This window comes from Homo sapiens, chromosome 5, assembly GCF_000001405.40.
Source record: "Homo sapiens chromosome 5, GRCh38.p14 Primary Assembly".
Taxonomy (NCBI): domain Eukaryota; kingdom Metazoa; phylum Chordata; class Mammalia; order Primates; family Hominidae; genus Homo; species Homo sapiens.
The window spans coordinates 150,069,859-150,088,911 of record NC_000005.10 but is presented as its reverse complement, the minus strand read 5'-3'; the positions used below and the strand labels follow the sequence as shown (position 1 = coordinate 150,088,911).

The window sequence follows — 19,053 nt, the reverse complement described above, 5'->3', positions numbered from 1 at the left end:
TGTTGTATTTCTTGGACAAATCCCACTTCATCATGGTATATAATCATTTTAATATGCTGTTAGATTTGGTTTGCTGGTGGCTGGGTGCAGTGGCTCACGCCTGTAATCCCAACACTTTGGGAGGCCAAGATGGGCAGACTGCTTGAGGTCAGGAGTTCAAGACTAGCCTGGCCAACATGGTGAAACCCTGTCTCTACTAAAAATACAAAAATTAGCTGGGCATGGTGGCGCATGCCTGTAATCCCAGCTACTCGGGAGTTTGAGGCACGAGAATAGCTTGAACGCGGGAGGCAGAGGTTGCAGTGAGCCGAGATTGCTCCACTGCACTCCAGCCTGAGTGACAGAGTGAGACCCTGTCTCAAAAAAGAAAGAAAGAAAGAAAAAAAAAAAAAGATTTGGTTTGCTAGTACATTTTTGAAAATTTTTGCTTTCTATATTCATGCATTTGTATTGGTCTGTAGTTATCTTTTCTGGCAATGTCTTGGTCTAGCTTTGGTACCAGAAAAATGCTGGCTTCATAGAATGAGTTGAAAAGGATTGGTATTAATTCTTCTTTAAATGTTTGGGAGAATTCACCAGTGAAGCCATCTGGTCCTGGGCTTTGCTTTGTCGGGAGGTTTTTGATTACTGATTAAATTTCTTTTCTTGTTATAGGTTTATTTGGATTTTCTTTTTCTTCTTGAGTCAGCTTTGATTGACATTCATGATTGCTAAAGGTTCAAAACACTTTTCTGAAAAAGAAAGTACATATATACACTCATAAATATACATACAAACACACACATACACACCACACACACACCTGAGTACACGGGAATGATCATTTTCCTGGATCAATGTTATATCAGGATTTTTCAATTTCAAGAAGGAACTTTAGGCTGGGTATAGTGGCTCATACCTATAATCCCAGTACTTTGGGAAGCCAAGGTATGCGAATCACTTGAGCTCAGGGGTTTGAGACCAGCCTGGACAACATGGTGAAACCCCATGTCTACCAAAAATACAGAAATTTGCTAGGAATGGTGGCACATGCCCCTGTAGTCCCAACTACTCAGGAGGATGAGGTAGGAGGATGGCTTGAGTCCGGGAGGTGGAGGTTGCAGTGAGCCGAGATCACACTACTGCACTCCAGCCTGGGTGACAGAACCAAACCCTGTCTCAGAAAAAAAAAAAGAAAAAAAGAAGAAGAAATGACCATGTTCTTTAGAGATAAGAAGTAAAATACTAAGCGAATCAACTAAAAGAGGTAAAAGCAATTGCCTCCAGGAAAAGAGGGAGCAAAGGAATGCTATATATTTTAAGAATTATGCAGAACAATTAGATTCTTTGTAAAAATAAATAAACAATGTAAGTAACGCACAAAAGATAGTTTTATAACCAGACTGCTGGGATCCAAATCCTATCTCCACCATTTGGTAGCTGTTTGACTATGGACAAGCTTAAGGCATTTGATCTCTCTGAGCTTTAGTTTTCCCATCTGTGAAATGAGAATGACAATAGTACTTACCTACATAAAGTTTTGCAGTACTAAAGGAGACAGTGAATGTAAAAGGTTTGGCTAGTAAATGTCCTGTAAAAGGAAGCTTATTGCCAATATTATCAGGCTCTCCCAGACCAACCTGTATACAGGAAGAAAACAAACTCCGTTTCTCCTATAGTCTCACAACACAAAATACTTCTGACCCCAGATGTAGAGGATGGGGCATATTTCCCCATACACCAAGCAATCAACCAATTGTTCAGATTCTGCAGCAGACACGAATCTGGTGCCCTCCGATTCAATTTGAACACTATATTTACCTAGAGATAACGTCAGATCTCACAGCTTGAAGGCTTGAGCCAGGAGTTTGAGGCTGCAGTGAGCTATGATCGAGCCACAGAGCTCCAGCCTGGGCAACAGAGTGAAACTGCGTCTCTAAAATAATAATAATAAATTTTTAAAAGATATGCATTACTTTGGAGATTCCAAGGATTTTAGGAGTTGTAAGCCAGGACATCAGGGTAAAGAAAAAATATATATGTCACAATATCATGCAACCTAACTTCTCTTTGGGATCTGCCAGAGCCACCTGATCACTCTGAAGACCCTCATTTGTGCTACTGACTAACGGTCTGGCTGCTCTTGGACATGTCTCTTCTCCCAAGACCCCTTGAAGATGGCTTTAGAAGGGCCCCAAACTTAGCTAGCTCCCCCCAAGCTCAGGCTGGCCCTGCCCCAGACTGCGACCCCTCCCTCTTGGGTTCAAGGCTTTGTTTTCTTCTTAAAGACCCAAGATTTCCAAACTCTGTGGTTGCCTTGCCTAGCTAAAAGGGGAAGAAGAGGATCAGCCCAAGGAGGAGGAAGAGGAAAACAAGACAAACAGCCAGTGCAGAGGAGAGGAACGTGTGTCCAGTGTCCCGATCCCTGCGGAGCTAGTAGCTGAGAGCTCTGTGCCCTGGGCACCTTGCAGCCCTGCACCTGCCTGCCACTTCCCCACCGAGGCCATGGGCCCAGGAGTTCTGCTGCTCCTGCTGGTGGCCACAGCTTGGCATGGTAAGAGCAGAACGGGGGGTGGGGGACTTTGTTGGGGTGTGATGGAGAAGACCCCTGTGAAAGGATTCAGTCCTTGCCCCTCACTGGGTGTCCTCAGGCTGTTTTAGTCTCCCCAACACTGGACTGCAGGCTTGTGGGTATCTGCTTTGGAGAGGTAGTGGGGTGAAAAGAGATGGGTGTGGTGGAACTGGTCCACCTGGTGCTGTGGATCTGTCCCAGCTCTGCCAGCGACTCACTGTGTGTCCTGAGCAAGCCTCTGATACTCTTGAGGCTTCAGTGTCCACTTCTATTCAATTGCAGGTGTTGGGGGCAGGGGGACAGTGATAGACTAGACCAGAGCAGTGCTTTTCATACTTTCCTGTGCATACAAGTTACCTGAGGATTTTGTTACAATGCAGATTCAGACTCAGTCGGTCTCAGGTGCGACCTGAGATTCTGTATATCCAACACACTCCTGGGAGATGTGAGATGCCGGCACTGCTGGTCCAGACCTACACTGAGTTGGGAGGACCTGGAGAGCTCCTGATGGCTCTGGCAGCTCTGCCAGCCTGTGATTCGATGATTCTATGCAAGATCTGATTTGGAAGGGCCTGATAGGGGTGGTGGTTCTTCCTTGGGTGGCTTGTGTAAGGGGTCAGAGGGGAGAGACAAGAGGTTGGCCTCTCTGGCCCAGGGCTCAGGAGAGGGGAATTCGGGGTGAAATAGGTATAGGGCTAGAGGAGGGATTGGGAAGAGGCCAGTGAGGGTCTCCTGGACCAGAGCCCTCCCAGACACAGGCTGCCAAGTCTCAGGAGGTCCCCAGGCTGTAGCAGTTCTGCAGAATTTCCATCTGGGAGGGAACATGACTAGAGGTGAGGGGCTGCTGTGCTTGGCTTGTTGGCCCAACAAACACATTTCTATTGCCTGCTTATTCAAAGGGACCTTGGGGGAGGATGGGGATTGAAGGGGAGAAAGGACAGCCTCATACTGGCCTCTTCACAGAAGGACCCTAAGGCCGTGGCGCTTCTGGTCCCTGATGAGGAGGAGATGGCCCACTGACCATCCTTCTCTGGCCCAGGCAATCACACTGAGCTTGAGTATTTGGGTTTTTTTTTTTTTTTTCCTGAGACAGAGTCTCTCTCTGTCACCAGGCTGGAGTACAGTGGCACAATCTCGGCTCACTGCAACCTCCACCTCCCGGGTTCAAGTGTTTCTCCTGTCTCAGCCTCCCAAGCTGGGATTACAGGCATACACCATCATGACTGGCTAATTTTTGTATTTTTAGTAGAGATGGGATTTCACCATGTTGGCCAAGCTGGTCTCGAACTCCTGACCTCAGGTGATCCACCTGCCTTGGCCTCCCAAAGTGTTGGGATTACTGGTGTGAGTCACGGCGCCCGGCCTGGACTTCTTATTTTGCAATGTAACTTACATGCAGTAGAAAGCACAGGTTCTTAAGTTCAATGAGGTCTGACAAATGCACACACAGTGTACCCGCCACCCCCTTCATCTCAGAGAGTCCCACAGGTTTGATTTCACTGCCTTGTCCTATCCTTACACCCACAACCTGCCTGTGGGGCAAAAACGGAAAAGTATCTGAGCCAGGTCTCAATTTAATTTTATTTTTTTTATTGAGATGGAGTCTTGTGGCCAGGCATGGTGGCTCACACCTGTAATCCCAGCACTCTGGGAGGCCGAGGCGGGTGGATCACAAGATCAGGAGTTTCAGACCAGCCTCGCCAATATGGTGAAGCCCCCTCTCTACTAAAAAATACAAAAATTAGCCGGGTGTGGTGGTGGGTTCCTGTAGTTCCAGCTACTCAGGAGGCTGAGGTGGGAGAATCACTTGAACCCGGGAGGCAGAGGTTGCAGTGAGCTGAGATCATGCCACTGCACTCCAGCCTAGGCGACAGAGCAAGACTCCATCTCCTTCCTTTCTTTCTTCCTTCCTTCCTTCCTTCCTTCCTTCCTTCCTTCCTTCCTTCCTTCCTTCCTTCCTTCCTTCCTTCTTTCTTTCTTTCTTTCTTTCTTTCTTTCTTTCTTTCTTTCTTTCTTTTTTCTATCTTTTTGAGACCGAGTCTTGCTCTGTTGCCCAGGCTGGAGTGCAATGGCATGGATCTCGGCTCACTGCAACCTCCGCCTCCGGGGTTCAAGCAATTCTGCCACTCCTGAGTAGCTGTGATTACTGGTGCCTGCCACCACACCCAGCTAATTTTTTTATTTTTGGTAGAGACAGGGTTTTATCATGCTGGCCATGCTGGTCTCGAACTCCTGAACTCAAGCGATCCCCCTGCCTTGGCGTCCCAAAGTGCTGGGATTACAGGCATGAGCCACTGTGCCTGGCTTCAATCAATTTAGAAGTTTATTTTGCCAAGGTTAAGGACATGCTGGCGAGAAAAAAACATGGAGTCACAAAAACATTCTGTGGTCTGTGCCATTCTGGATGAATTCGAGGGCTTTAATATTTAAAGGGGAAAGTGGGCTGGAGGGGAAAAGGGGAGGTTGTGGTAATCCACATGTTGCAAAAGAAAAGCAGCAGGTAGGGGAACAGTCAATTATCTCGGTTCAGTAAATTGGCTCTTTACATAGGGAAAGTGAACATAGAGGAGCTGCCTGTGGGATATTTTACCTTTTATCTGTCGCTATCTGCTTAGGAATAAAAGGCAAGGCAGCTTCTTGCATGACTCAGTTTCCAGCTTGATTTTTCCTTTTGGCAGAGTGAATTAGGGTCCCAAGTTTTTATTTTCCCTTCACAGGGGCATGGTGTGTGGGAGGGGGGCCAGATGGTTTTCCAGGGTCCAGTCCCAAGAGAAAGAAGAGATGGGGAGGCTGGAAACCTAAGTTTTCAGCCCAACAGACCAATGATGAGTGGATGAGGGGCCACTGTGAGGAGACTGGGGATGGTATTGGAGGACCCTAGAGAGAGAGGGGGGCTCTCTCTTCATTACTGCGATGAGATCCTGGGCTGAAGAGGGGCTGTGTCCAGCCTTAGTGTGCAGTGTGTGTGTGTGTGTGTGTGTGTGTGTGTGTGTGTGTGTGTGTGTGTGTGTTGGGAGAGAAGAGTAGAGATTGGGGCACATTCTGGAAGTGATGAGGGAGGGGCTTCCAGGCAAGTGGGAGCTAGTGGAGAGGTGTGGGGCATGGGGAGAATTGGGGAGTGGAGATGAGAGGGGGGAAGAATGGACAGGCACAGAAGGGGACCTCAGTTAATGTTCATAAGCCCATGCCCCCACCCCGAGGAGGATGGGGGCCAAGCCGGCTTCCTTCCCTGCTAGCCAAGCCAGCAGGGGAAGTTGGCTGCGGAAGTTGCGGGTATCAGCCTTATCCTGCGTGAATACCTGGGACAATAGGATAGGACAAAATAGGGCAGACACCGCTCCCTGACCACATTTCCTGGAGGCCAAGGCAGGGTCTAGAGAGACAGGCTGGGGGAAGGGATGGGAGAAGCCCACTGTAAGGTGTGAGGCAGGTGTAAAAAAGGAACAAATGGAATCACAGAATCCAAGGTTAAAATCTTGAGCGATCAGAGTTGGCCCAGAAGGGACATTAGAAATGTAGCAATTAAAGCAGGTGCCCAGGGCAGGAGTAGTTCTATACATCATCTCACTCAACCTTCAGCTGAAGTTTTTGGGGTGGGAGCTGGGATTATTCCCATCAGACAGAAGAATAGCCTGAGGCTCAAAGAGGTTAAGAAACTAACCCAGCTGGTAAGGGAAGAACCAAGATCCAAACCCAAGTTGGTGTGAGCCCACACTCCAAGCTGTTTCCTGCTATAAAACCCCGGCCTGGGGGCCCTAGATTGCTGCAGCAGTGATAGGGCAGCCCCAGCTCTGTTGAGATTTGCTAAAAAGGCTGCTAGAAATGACACTTGTCCCTCTTCCTGGCAGTTGCACTGCATAGGAGGGCTACAACCCCAGGTGGCAGGCTTGGCAGTATTCACAATTCACTCAATCTCGTTTGCTGATCAGAGTCTTGGGGAGAAGGGATGCACATTCTGATGAATACAAAATCAAAACGTGAATTAAGCCATCCTGAAAGGACTTGAGAGAGGAAACCTTTCCAATTCTGGGCTCTATGGTGGGGCAGGGGGAATTTCCATTTCAAGGGGGTTTGCAGAGAACAATGGAGATACCCTGAATTCACCGAAAGCCCTCGGGGCTGGCCTGTCATTGTGCCCCCATCACTGGGAAGAGGAAGGGCCAGAGCTGAGGAGTTGGATGGCCAGGGTCAGCCAGTGGGTCAGCGTCAGAGCCCAGCCTCACAGCTGCCCCGCAAGTGGCACTCCCTCTCCCTGCCTGGAGAGAGGAGAGTGGCTAGGAGGCTGGGGAAGCAGAAGTGAGAACATCCCTGTAGAAGGGCCACAGGCTGAGCGGAAACCGGGGGCTGAGCCTGACGCCAACAATGTGTTTCCGCCCACACAGGCTGGGGGGCGCCTGGCAGCCCCTCGGAGGCTTGAATCAGCTCTCACTTCCCTCCTTTGCCCCTATTTTAGGCCCTGGAAAAATGCTGACGCTGCAGAGGCAACGGGCCTTCTTCCCGGACAGCCTGATAGGGGTTTCAAGTTCTCTTTTCTCCTTCAAGAAAATTTTCCTTAAAAGAGATTGGCTTCCCAGTAAACACAGATGTGTGGGGGTGCCGGGGTGAGCTGCTGGGTGTAGACTAGGTAATAAACATAGTGACTAACTCTTACTGAGCCATTTATTTGGTGACAGGTGATGTTCTAAAGTCTTCCCATGCATTTAAAATGCCTAACATACCAATGAGTGGGTACGATGATTGTCCCTGTTTTATAGGTGGGGAAACTGAGGCATGGCACCTCCCCATCCCACTGTGCTGCAGACCAGATGTCCATTGGTGGGAGCGGGCACACCAGGAGATTCTTGGGACCTCTCTAACTCTGCTGGGCTAAGATCCTACATCTCTTTTTTTTTCTTTCCCATATGAATTAAGCTGAGGACTTGGCCGTGAACATTCCATTCATTTGTTTCTTCATTCGGTGGTAGAAATACGTCCACTTTGTACACAGGGTTAAAAGAGTCCATTCCTGGGGAGTAGAAAGATGGCATCACAGCAGGGAAGACTGAGGCAGGAGGCTGAGGACCCCAGGGGGACAGAGGCCTGGGTGAGAGGCTGAGCAAGCTGCAAGCCCCCTTTCTCAGAGGAGGGACCTCCTGGACATCAGAGACATCAGTCTGTCCCTGAGCAGGTTGAGGGTTAGGAGCTGAGCAAATGACCAGGGGGCAGGGGCTCGTTCAAGGTGGTCCCTTGATGGCACAGCACCATCCCTGCCAAGCTACCACCCATCTCAGAGTCAGGACGGCCCAAGGGGCGCATCCTAGACCTCACTTCTGTCTGCTGTCCCTCTCTCCCACCAGGTCAGGGAATCCCAGTGATAGAGCCCAGTGTCCCTGAGCTGGTCGTGAAGCCAGGAGCAACGGTGACCTTGCGATGTGTGGGCAATGGCAGCGTGGAATGGGATGGCCCCCCATCACCTCACTGGACCCTGTACTCTGATGGCTCCAGCAGCATCCTCAGCACCAACAACGCTACCTTCCAAAACACGGGGACCTATCGCTGCACTGAGCCTGGAGACCCCCTGGGAGGCAGCGCCGCCATCCACCTCTATGTCAAAGGTGAGGAGTCTGAGCCTCCTCCCAAGAGGCCTGACCCGGCAGGCCCCACTACAATGGGCCCTAAAATTAACAATCGTAACAATTCAGCTCTGCATTTACTGAGTGCTGGCTATGAGCAAGGACCTGGAAGAGCTGCTAATGTAATGCAGTCCTCACAACAACCCTGCAAGTCGGGTCTATGATGATGCATTTTCTAGAAGTGCAGGGAGGTTATCCAAGGTCACACAGCCTCACATAGTGGGACTAGACTGGAGCCCAGGTGCGCCTGACTCTGGAGCCACCACGCTGAAGCATCCGCTGAACTGTCCTGGCGTGGTGTGACCTCAGATGAATGATCAGCCTCTCTGAGCTTCCTTGTCACCTATGTCCAGGTACTCCTTGGCCCAGTGGAGGGAGGGCAGTTGTAACCCTGTGCCCTCCTCTACTCTAGACCCTGCCCGGCCCTGGAACGTGCTAGCACAGGAGGTGGTCGTGTTCGAGGACCAGGACGCACTACTGCCCTGTCTGCTCACAGACCCGGTGCTGGAAGCAGGCGTCTCGCTGGTGCGTGTGCGTGGCCGGCCCCTCATGCGCCACACCAACTACTCCTTCTCGCCCTGGCATGGCTTCACCATCCACAGGGCCAAGTTCATTCAGAGCCAGGACTATCAATGCAGTGCCCTGATGGGTGGCAGGAAGGTGATGTCCATCAGCATCCGGCTGAAAGTGCAGAAAGGTGCGTGGGGCATGGGGACCGGCAGCCAGGCCTGAAGAGTGGGGACAGAGAGCCGGCGGCCACATGGGTGGTGACTGGGGACTGGGTGTGATGGGGGGCAGTGGGATGTCCTCTTTCTTTCACTTCTTCCCCTCAATGGTTCCACGATCATCTATGGGGCAGGACTGACAAGGTGTCGGGGCAGGGAGACAAACCACATGTGAGCAAATAACTCAGTGGGCAAGGTCATCTCAAGTCATTGGACATGCTACAAAAATAAACATTCAACATGGTAGCTGAATAAGGAGTGTGTAGGGCGGGGAGCCTCACTGAGAAGGAAACACTTTATTAGAGCGGAAATCTGAATGACATGAAGAAGGTGGCTGTGCAAAGATCTGCTTCAGCAGGGGGACAGTGAGTACCAAGTGGTGAGGTGGGGACAGGCTCTGAATGTTCTAGGTATGGAAAGAGGACGGAAGCTCAGCCTCAGACATGGATTTCCCACTGGGGGCCTGCCTAAGGCCAAGTGCTGGGCATGTGTAGGAGGGATGCTGAGCCAAGAGGCAGGGAGGAGATGGTGGGTGCGTGTGATGGCTCTCGCGGTGGCCAGGTAACAGTGGAGGTGGAGTCTCACCCTGCTGGGATGGCAGGCAGGATTCTGGTTTCTGGGAGGACTGGTGAGAGCAAGCAGGACCCCAGCCTGAGGACCTGGGCTTGAGACAGCAATCAGTCCCTGTAACAAGGGCCAGGGTCAGAGTGAAGCAGCTAGCCCAATGCCACTGGGATCTGAAGCCACTAAACCTGCCCAGGGGGTCAAAGGACCCCAGCTGTGTGGGCAGAGGAGGCCATTAGGGCTCTTTCCTGGCATTTCATCCTGCAGAGCCCTGGGCTGGCCAAGAGCCAAAGGTCCTGGGCCCTAGTTCTGCCTTGACACCCCCTCAGGGACCTTGGGTGAGTCCTTTCATGTCCCTGGGCCTTAGGAATCTGGATTAGATTATCTTTCAACAGCAGCAATGGGCATAAATATGAATTCAAGGCCTACTGTGCATCAGGCATCTTGCTGGCTGCTGGAATATTCCTGTCACGGATTTGACATTCGACTAGAGTCTAACTATTAAATAGAAAGTAAATACAAATGTGATGAGCAAGAAACCAAGCTGGGGAGTGGCGGGCATGGAGGTGCTGGGGAGGCTAATTCATATCAGCTGGTCACAGAAGCCTTGCTGAGGAATTTTTGAGCTAAAGATCTGAAGGATGAGAACAGCCTCCCATTTGAAGTGTGGGAGGAAAGGCATTCCAGGAGGGAAAGGTGGGTGCAAAGGCCCTGTGGTAGGAAAGAGGTCCAGCGGGCTGCAGTGCAGTGAACAAGGGGTGGGGTTATCAGGGCGGTCAGAAACAGGTTGGGCTGTGGAAGGACTTTGACTTCTTTTCTGAGAGTAATGGGAAGCCCCAAATGTTTACAGAGGAGAGAGGCATGGTCCCATTTATATTTGTAAGAGGTCACTTTAGTGAAGAATCTAGGTGTGGGGGGCTTGGAGGGAGGCAGGGAGGTCTCTGAGGAGGCTGGTGCAGAAGTCCAGAGTGGAGAATGGTGACGGGACTGGGGAGGGGTAGAGGTGATGGAGAAAGTAGACTTTCCAAGGTCTCTTTAGGACAGGCCTTGCAGTGGGGGGACTGGGAGCATCAAGGCTGCCTCCCAGGATTTGGGATGGGGCAGTGATGGGGACCCTGGCCTGTGTGTCCTGGCCCATGGCAGGGAGGAGAGCAATATCTCTATCATGTTCAGGGAGCCTGGGTGTTCAGGGGTCTCTCCCCCGGTCTCAGTCATCCCAGGGCCCCCAGCCTTGACACTGGTGCCTGCAGAGCTGGTGCGGATTCGAGGGGAGGCTGCCCAGATCGTGTGCTCAGCCAGCAGCGTTGATGTTAACTTTGATGTCTTCCTCCAACACAACAACACCAAGGTCAGTCCCTGCAGATCACAAGGTGAAGTCTGGCCATCCTCCCAGCACACCAGGTTTCCCATGGTGGAGTCCTGGGCCCCCAACTCCAAACTGGCTGTCTTAGCTGAAGGCACAGCTCAGACTCCAGAGAGGGGTGCAGACTCACCCGAGATCTCACTCCCAGTCAGTAGCTGACACAGAATCAGGACTCATGCTTGTGCCGCTGAACTTTGTGGGGGTGGGTGGGGGGAGGTGGTTCTCTGTCACCTTGACACATGGCCTTTGCCCCAGCCTTTAGACAAAAGCCAGAGGTGAGCTCACTTCTGATTTAGCAAGGGTTTCCTAGGCCACCATTGAAGCCCAGGAATATAACAGCTATTTCAGAAAGACATTGGGAGAGAGGGAGGAGGAGGGAGGATTCCAGGAGGGACTCACGTTGGGCTGCCTCTAAGAGCCCCCTCCCTTCCCACTGCACCTGCCGTGTTCCAGACACAGCCCTAAGCCACTTGCATGCATATCTCATTTACTCCTCACTACAGTCTTGGGGCAGGGAGCCAGTATTAGCCCCATTTTACAAGTGAAGCAACAGGCTCAGAGGAAAGGCAGATAGTAATCCTTAAAGGCTGAGGATTGGAACCCAGATCTTTCTAATCCCTAAACTACCTTGGTATAACATCTCCATTCCTTCTGGCTGCAGCTCGCAATCCCTCAACAATCTGACTTTCATAATAACCGTTACCAAAAAGTCCTGACCCTCAACCTCGATCAAGTAGATTTCCAACATGCCGGCAACTACTCCTGCGTGGCCAGCAACGTGCAGGGCAAGCACTCCACCTCCATGTTCTTCCGGGTGGTAGGTAAGCATCAGGGTGGTGGTGGACAGTCGGTAGGGATCCTGCAGGAGTGTGAGCAGAAGGGTTTTGAGGAGGAAGCTGATGTCAGGGAAGGAGACCTGCTGAGGATATCTCTGCTGGAGTTTGTTTATCCAAGGCCTGGCTAAGGAGCCACTCTCCAGGAGCTTTCCCTTACCCTCTCCTGGGATCTCTCTCCCATCTTGGAGCTCTTACAGTGCATGGCTGCATTGGGTGCACCTTAGTGCCATTTTTTGTTTATTTGGGGATTGGGGTCCAGTAGCTCCCTACTGGACTTCATTTGTTCATTCTTTCATGCATTCCTTTATGGAAACATGAAAAGACAATGATCACCCAGTGATTATGGGGGAAGCACAAGGTGTCCTGGGAACACTGAAGAGTCCCCCCAACCCAGGCTTCGAGAAGGTGGCCTCTAAACTGGGATGGGAAGAATGAAGGTGAGTTGGCCGGGCAGAAGGGTGGGAAAGGAAGGGGAACAGCGCTTCTGGCAGAGGGAGGAACATATGCAAGGCTCAAAGGCAAAGAGAACATAGATCATTTGGAACACTGAAAGAACTTGACAACAGCTGGGATGTGGAGTGGTGTGAGGAGTGGCCACAGGGGAGCAGAGGAGGTGGCAGAAGCCGGAGGTAAAGGTGTCTTAAAGTGAGAAAGAATAACTGCATCTTAACCTATTGGGAGGTCATTGTAAAGAGGAGAGTGATGGGGTCAGATTGTACAGAGGAGGCACTTCGTGGTGGTCAGGAGCACACACTCCAGGGCAGTGTTCCAACCTGAGTCTGCCAAGGACTAGCAGGTTGCTAACCACCCTGTGTCTCAGTTTTCCTACCTGTAAAATGAAGATATTAACAGTAACTGCCTTCATAGATAGAAGATAGATAGATTAGATAGATAGATAGATAGATAGATAGATAGATAGATAGATAGATAGATAGATAGGAAGTACTTAGAACAGGGTCTGACACAGGAAATGCTGTCCAAGTGTGCACCAGGAGATAGTATCTGAGAAGGCTCAGTCTGGCACCATGTGGGTTGGGTGGGAACCTGGAGGCTGGAGAATGGGCTGAAGATGGCCAGTGGTGTGTGGAAGAGTCTGAGATGCAGGGATGAGGAAGAGAAAGGAGATAAGGATGACCTCCAGGTCTCTGGCTATGGTGATTGGGTGCAGGCAGTGGCAGTCACTGGACTCAGACCCTGAAGCAAGGCAGCAGCTCATCGGAGTGGGAGCAGGCTCTGAGACATTTAGGTCTGGCCGTGCCTCATGTGTTGAATGTTATGGGAGATGGAGGTGGCGAGGAGCATGAGAATCATGAGCATCACTGCCCCTAGAGTATGTGCAAGGCACTGGACTTGCAGCAGATTGTGAGCTCTGCTGTGGACCCCAATCTGCACTGGGAGCTTTGGCAGGGTAAAGGGGAAGAAGAGCAAAAGCACAAGAATTCAGTTACGGCTTCTAATCCTGTCTGCTTTCTAGTACAGGCATACAGTCATCACTCAAGAAATGTTTATGTTCATTCACACTTTGGGCCAGACACTGTTCTAGACATCGAGGATACAGCTGCAAGTGAAACAGATACAACAACCCCCGACTCATGAAGTGTGTGCTCTAGCTGGGAGTGGGCAAGCAATGAGCCAAGTAAATTATTAAAAAAACAAATTATATAGCATTTGCAGCTTCAGATAGGGTGTTCACCAAGGAAGATCTCACTAGAAAGCTGATATTTGAGCAAAGGCTTAAATTGCTGAAGGAGCAAGCCATGCGGCCATTTTGGAGAAGGGAGCTCCATCCTGCAGCGGGACTGTGCTTGCCATGTTCAGGGGACAAGTGGGCCAGTGTGGCTGCGGGGAGAGAGTGAGAAAAAAAGTGGTCTCAGATGAGGTCAGAGAGCTAAAGTGGGAAGGTGAGATGAAAGGAGGCTACCGCAGTGGTCCAGGCTGGAGCTGATGGTGGGTGGACTAGAGTGGTAATGGTGAAGGCAGCAGGAAGTTGTTGGTGTTTGGATGGATGAATGGACTAATGGATGGATGAATAATAGATAGATGGATTGTTGAGAGAGACAGAGAAGAGAAAAGCCTTGCCCCCAAAAGCTCACAGACTACTTGGAGAGAGAAGAAAGCTACCTGGAGGGAGAACCAGATGCATGAAGCAGTGCAGATGTGGTGCCTAATGAGTGTGTAGTCTGGAAGGGCAGCAAAAGTCGAGTGGAGTGAGAGGTTCCTGTGTCCTGGAGCACTGAGTAGAGACTCCCTCATGGGGGTGAATCTTAAAGGATAAAGGGGCCTCTATAATGAAAAGGAGGAGGATGGGATTTCTGGTAGAGGAAATTGCTTGAGCAAAACCTCCAAGGTTGGAATGACTATGGTGTGTTCAGGGATGTTAGGAGACCCAGATGGGTGGAGCGTTGAGTGTGTGTGTGTAGGAAGGAAGAGGGGAGGTGGCTGGATGAGCACAGTGAGACCTGATTTGATTGAGAGCCTTGAACGCCACGCTGAATAATGGAGGCAATGGGACTCCATAGAGGGCTTTTGAGTAGACATATATCAGTGTAGAAGGGTGAATTTCAGATTTTTAGACAGAATAGAGTAAGGAGAGGAGCTCTTAGAAATCATCTAGTCCAGGGCTTGTGGCAGAGCCCTGAGGTTTTAAGAAGGCATGTCAGGGGCTACCATGACAGGCACGGAGAGGCTGAGTGAATTGGGGTTCTTGCCACAATTCCCTTGCCTGAGATTCAACAAGAGCAGCTGTATTACAATCTGTGCAAAATGTCATTAGGAGAAACTAGTTAGTAGCTGGGCGTGGTGGCATGCAACTGTTGTCCCAGCTACTCGGGAGGCTGAGGCCGGAGAATCGCTTGAACCTGGGAGGCGGAGGTTGCAGTGAGCAGAGACTGTGCCACTGCACTCCAGCCTGGATGACAGAGCAAGACTCTGTTTCAAAAAAAAAAAAAAAAAAAACTAGTCAGGACTCTTTCAGATACAAGTAATAGAAACCAACTCAAACTGGCCTAATTAAAAGGATTTTTTTCCTTATAGCTAAAAAGCTCATGGATATCAGCTTCAGGAACACTTGGATCCAGGTGTTCAGCTGATGCTGGAAAGAATCTATGACTCCCCAACTCTCAGCCCTGCCAGGAAGGCTTTCCCCTTGTAGGACTCCGACTATCCGCCTTGTAGTATCTGATCCAGCAACACCAGTAAAATGAGGGCTTCTCTTTTCCCAGAGTCTTAACAAAAATCATGGAATTGAGTGTTATGGACTCATGGATTCATGGTAACCCAAACCAATCACCGGGCCAGAGGGGACAGAGTACCCTCACTGGTTGGCCTGGGTTACACACCTACTCCAGAGCTATATTTGGAAGCCGCATTGACTAATTTATGACCAGAAGAAAGGGAAATGGATGAGGACACGTGAAATTGTGTGTGTATGTGTGTGTGTGTTTTCTTGCTGCCAAAAATTTTTCAAAAACTTGGAAAATCACAGATATATTCAATCTCTTCATTACACAAATAAGGAGATGGAGGCACAAATGGGGATAGGGATTTGCCCAGGTTCTCCTAGGGCTTCAGTGAGAAAAGTTTTGATCCAGGGATTCTGAAGGGGGTGGTGAGAAGAGGGGTGTCAGAGGACCTGTCTTGGGTGGTGGGGACTATGTACCTGTGACATAGCTGCTCAGGGACTGGATCAATGGGTGGATGACAAAATGGACAAATAAACAAGGACATCTTCCCACTAATGCCAGATGCTTGTGTGTTCTGCTTTCCAGAGAGTGCCTACTTGAACTTGAGCTCTGAGCAGAACCTCATCCAGGAGGTGACCGTGGGGGAGGGGCTCAACCTCAAAGTCATGGTGGAGGCCTACCCAGGCCTGCAAGGTTTTAACTGGACCTACCTGGGACCCTTTTCTGACCACCAGCCTGAGCCCAAGCTTGCTAATGCTACCACCAAGGACACATACAGGTACCACTTATCAGCTCCCGTCTACACAGCCCGACAACCAGATGGGGTATGCTTCAGCAAGCATCAGGACGCTTGGCTCATGTCCCAACCTTGGTGTATGACCTTGAGCAAGTCCCTGCCCCTTTCTGGGCTTCGCTTTCCCTGACTTCATGGAATCCCAATATTGGTCATCTGTGTTTGAGATCTAGATGAAATTGACCTACCTCTCCATCCCACATCCTTGGGATAGTCAATGCCCCACCCAAGGATTCTACCATTTCTTGGGAGTGTGCATTCTCATTGGTCCCTCAAGAACCCTCAGCCTCATTCATTTTCCTCTCTTGGGGCCAATCCAAATGCAGAAAACAGCCCCACTCATAGACACACTCCTGATAATGACTGCACAAGTTATCTGCTACATACAAAAGCTTGGAGGGAGGGGAAGAGGGAATTAAGATCACACAATCACAGATACATGAAATGTTCTTTAAAGGATTGTGATCACCCAGCCCCAAGAATTTCTCACTGGCTGCTCTTCTCTGTAAGCTCAAAACTCTTCCCATGAAGTGCAATCTATAATAACTCCACACCCCTCTTCTTCCGTCTCTCCACTCCCACAATCCTGTGTATTCCACACACATTTTAGAAATCTTTTTCCTGTCTGCTTGTGAACTGTGTTCTTGGGGTCTTGCTTTCTCATCCAAAGTGGCTTAAGCAGGTAGGTTCTAAATAAGAAAGCTTTGTGCCTAAGAGGAACACTCATACCAGGTATATCAGGTATTAACTCAGGTATTAAAATAGTTCCTTCTTTTCTTTCTTTTTATTATTTTTTTTAGATGGAGTTTTGCTCTTGTTGCTGGAGTGCAATGGCACAATCTCGGCTCACTGCAAACTCGGCCTCCCGGGTTCAAGTGATTCTCCTGCCTCAGCCTCCCGAGTAGCTGGGATTACAGATGCCCACCACCACACCCAGCTAATTTTTGTATTTTTAGTAGAGACAGAGTTTCACCATGTTGGCCAGGCTGGTCTCGAACTCCTGACCTCAGGTGATCTGCCTGCCTCGGCCTCCCAAGGTGCTAGGATTACAGGTGTGAGCCATCGTGCCTGGCCTGAAATAATCATTCATACCCTGCCCTTTCAGAGGGAGACAGTACAGCTTAAGGGCAGCGAATACGTGGTGTGCATGCCACACTCACTCTCATTCTTGTTTCTGCAACTCTGTTCTGCAGAGTGTAGATGCGGCCTCAGAGTCCTCCTCAACACAGGTCCCAGGCAGTATTTCCAGCATAGTTGGCTCATGAGAGATCTGTTTGTCATCCCTGTGTGGATCCCTTAGACAACTTCAAAACTCTTTGGGATTCTCGTTCTAGCTCTGGAAGCCCAAACCTCATTGATTCCCACAATCTTGCTTGTCAATTGTCAGAAGCAACAAGGATGTTTTCTTGTCCTCATCTTCCTCCTCTCAGTTCCCTTCTGGTCCTTTCTGGCCAGGTCTCTGTCTTCCTCTCATTTAAAGCAGAAGTTCTGAATCTGGAATGTGTAGGCCCTTTGGAGGGGGCTGGTCCATGGATCGGTTTAATGGGTCCATAAGCCACAGAGACATTGAGGAAAGGAACACGAGATCCCCTAAAACACAGTAGTCTGGGCCCATTCAGCACAAGGCAGACAAGCCTGGACACCAAACAGCCACAGAATTTTAGTTCATGTGATGGGTTGTTCATAATGGTGACTTTCAATTATCCAAAAAAGTCAAATTATTTTTAGTTAAAGGGGTTAGTTATCTCAAGAAGTGACCTGGGCAGAGGCCTTGTATATGCCCAGGGTCTGGCTGGATGAGACTGCTCTCTGAATACCATAGATTTTAGTCTAGTAGTAGCTGCAGACATTTCCCAAGCAAGAACTGGCCATTTGCTATAATTTTTAAAATTTTATTTATTTTGACAGTGAACTGGGGGACTTTTTAAAAAATGTATTTATTACCTAAACAACACATGTTCATTATGGACAAATTGTAAAATAGAGATTAAAGAAAGAATAAAACAAAAAATTTCCCAGAATCAGCCAAAGATGATTTTTATTGTTAGTTTTTGCTCCAGGGCCTTTTCTGTAATAAAGGGTACCATTGAATTGAGTGCCCACAAAGATTCAACTTCTGTGTCAAGCACCCTAAAAAGGTCCTTTAATCCTCAAGCCAAGCCTGTGAATTAATAACCATCGATATCACTCTCACAGCAAAGGAAGTGAGGGATCAGAGAGGTTAAGTACTTGTCTAAGATCACACAGCCAAGAAACAGCAGCACCAGGACTTGAACCCCAGTCTCTGCAGCAACATGGCTCAGAACCCAGGGCCCTACATCCTGCCTCTTGTCTCTTTCTCAGTCCCTCTTGGCAAGGTTGGCACTTCAGGGATTTGTAGCAGGGATTGCAGCTTTCATGAAAGCTTAGTCCAGTGACAGTGGTCAACGTAGGCGACCTGTGATAGGCCTCCCAGCACCTTGAAGACATCACCTCTATTAAACCTCGGGAAAAAAACACTTTCAGATAAGAAAACCAACTAAGGAAATGGGATTGGTGGTTTTTGCATGTCTCAATGGCACCCTGTCTGAGTATCTGGCTTACCCAAGGCCGTTGGGCCCTGAATATTTTACCAAAAATAAAATAAACCCCTTTAAGGCTGTTATCTGACTGCAATCCTGGCAGGGGCCATACTAGGCTGGGGCTCACCAACACCACCTGATTCTCTCCTGCAGGCACACCTTCACCCTCTCTCTGCCCCGCCTGAAGCCCTCTGAGGCTGGCCGCTACTCCTTCCTGGCCAGAAACCCAGGAGGCTGGAGAGCTCTGACGTTTGAGCTCACCCTTCGATGTGAGTGCTGGGGCCGAGCGCCACCTGGGGCGGAGGCCCTGGGACTGCCTGGAGGGATGGGGTTGACTGGGGCAGGGCACAGGGAAGTAGGTACTGGGAGATTGGGAGGTGGCGGGGAAAGTGTGACTTGGGGCCTCCTCCTTTCTTCCTCAGACCCCCCAGAGGTAAGCGTCATATGGACATTCATCAACGGCTCTGGCACCCTTTTGTGTGCTGCCTCTGGGTACCCCCAGCCCAACGTGACATGGCTGCAGTGCAGTGGCCACACTGATAGGTAAGTGGGCTCCACTCACCTCCCTCACCTGGGCTCAGGGGCTGGGCACCCTGTGAGTGGGAGGGACATGCTGGCGCTGGGAACCCTGAAGCTCTGAGCCACATTCTGCTTTTGCCAGGTGTGATGAGGCCCAAGTGCTGCAGGTCTGGGATGACCCATACCCTGAGGTCCTGAGCCAGGAGCCCTTCCACAAGGTGACGGTGCAGAGCCTGCTGACTGTTGAGACCTTAGAGCACAACCAAACCTACGAGTGCAGGGCCCACAACAGCGTGGGGAGTGGCTCCTGGGCCTTCATACCCATCTCTGCAGGTGAGAGGGAGCCT

At 50.1% G+C, this 19,053-nt stretch overlaps 1 protein-coding gene across 7 annotated transcripts in view, besides 13 other annotated features; it reads left to right on the top strand.

The window, feature by feature from the left end:
- The window catches only part of CSF1R (colony stimulating factor 1 receptor), a 60,071-nt gene that overhangs the window by 24,454 nt on the left and 16,564 nt on the right, over positions 1–19,053 (top strand). For 3 of the 7 annotated variants that reach the window (NM_005211.4, NM_001375320.1, NM_001349736.2), the window contains 9 exons: positions 2,305–2,533; positions 7,888–8,145; positions 8,576–8,860; positions 10,664–10,800; positions 11,477–11,636; positions 15,419–15,611; positions 18,341–18,456; positions 18,610–18,730; positions 18,849–19,039. In NM_005211.4, the coding sequence (NP_005202.2) occupies positions 2,485–2,533; positions 7,888–8,145; positions 8,576–8,860; positions 10,664–10,800; positions 11,477–11,636; positions 15,419–15,611; positions 18,341–18,456; positions 18,610–18,730; positions 18,849–19,039 (1,510 nt within the window). In that variant the 5' untranslated portion in view covers positions 2,305–2,484. Of the gene's footprint in view, positions 1–2,304; positions 2,534–7,887; positions 8,146–8,575; positions 8,861–10,663; positions 10,801–11,476; positions 11,637–15,418; positions 15,612–18,340; positions 18,457–18,609; positions 18,731–18,848; positions 19,040–19,053 lie in introns of those variants that run through there. The other 4 variants (NR_109969.2, NM_001288705.3, NR_164679.1 and 1 more) reach the window with 2 other exon arrangements.
- Positions 2,053–2,485: a promoter, noted in NCBI's record as "CSFR-430 promoter fragment". NCBI's record gives the evidence for it as "EXISTENCE:reporter gene assay evidence [ECO:0000049][PMID:7964503]".
- Positions 2,053–7,374: a biological region, named in NCBI's record as "CSF1R promoter/intronic regulatory region". NCBI's record gives its function as "regulatory_interactions: CSF1R".
- Positions 2,271–2,286: a protein binding site, noted in NCBI's record as "C/EBP site; -88 to -73". NCBI's record gives the evidence for it as "EXISTENCE:protein binding evidence [ECO:0000024][PMID:8622667]".
- Positions 2,271–2,300: an enhancer, noted in NCBI's record as "region II (-88 to -59)". NCBI's record gives its function as "enhancer when multimerized" and the evidence as "EXISTENCE:reporter gene assay evidence [ECO:0000049][PMID:7969146]".
- Positions 2,284–2,300: a protein binding site, noted in NCBI's record as "PEBP2/AML1/RUNX1 site; -75 to -59". NCBI's record gives the evidence for it as "EXISTENCE:protein binding evidence [ECO:0000024][PMID:7969146]".
- Positions 2,302–2,329: a protein binding site, noted in NCBI's record as "PU.1 site". NCBI's record gives its function as "positive regulation of promoter activity" and the evidence as "EXISTENCE:protein binding evidence [ECO:0000024][PMID:8264604, PMID:8628293]".
- Positions 2,328–2,355: a protein binding site, noted in NCBI's record as "Pu-ets site". NCBI's record gives the evidence for it as "EXISTENCE:protein binding evidence [ECO:0000024][PMID:7964503]".
- Positions 2,328–2,355: a protein binding site, noted in NCBI's record as "PU-ets site". NCBI's record gives the evidence for it as "EXISTENCE:protein binding evidence [ECO:0000024][PMID:7964503]".
- Positions 6,574–7,374: a DNaseI hypersensitive site, noted in NCBI's record as "DHS-FIRE; the nucleotide coordinates are approximate for this feature". NCBI's record gives the evidence for it as "EXISTENCE:in vivo cleavage assay evidence [ECO:0001075][PMID:12773394]".
- Positions 6,627–7,268: an enhancer, noted in NCBI's record as "FIRE; 4143 to 4785 from exon 2". NCBI's record gives its function as "orientation-independent enhancer in macrophage cells" and the evidence as "EXISTENCE:reporter gene assay evidence [ECO:0000049][PMID:14530429]".
- Positions 6,958–7,167: an enhancer, noted in NCBI's record as "active region_23398". NCBI's record gives its function as "activates an Ori minimal core promoter by ATAC-STARR-seq in GM12878 lymphoblastoid cells {active_cell/tissue: GM12878}" and the evidence as "EXISTENCE:reporter gene assay evidence [ECO:0000049][PMID:35858748]".
- Positions 10,697–10,917: an enhancer, noted in NCBI's record as "CSF1R fragment used in the pGL2-Promoter reporter construct". NCBI's record gives its function as "activates an SV40 promoter by reporter assays in HEK293 embryonic kidney cells, with higher activity for the rs2228422 G allele in the absence of RORalpha {active_cell/tissue: HEK293}" and the evidence as "EXISTENCE:reporter gene assay evidence [ECO:0000049][PMID:25913741]".
- Position 10,797: a transcriptional cis regulatory region, noted in NCBI's record as "rs2228422 single nucleotide polymorphism affecting enhancer RORalpha responsiveness". NCBI's record gives its function as "allelic activity of the CSF1R enhancer in HEK293 embryonic kidney cells, where the A allele is sensitive to RORalpha presence and preferentially associates with RORalpha {active_cell/tissue: HEK293}" and the evidence as "EXISTENCE:reporter gene assay evidence [ECO:0000049][PMID:25913741]".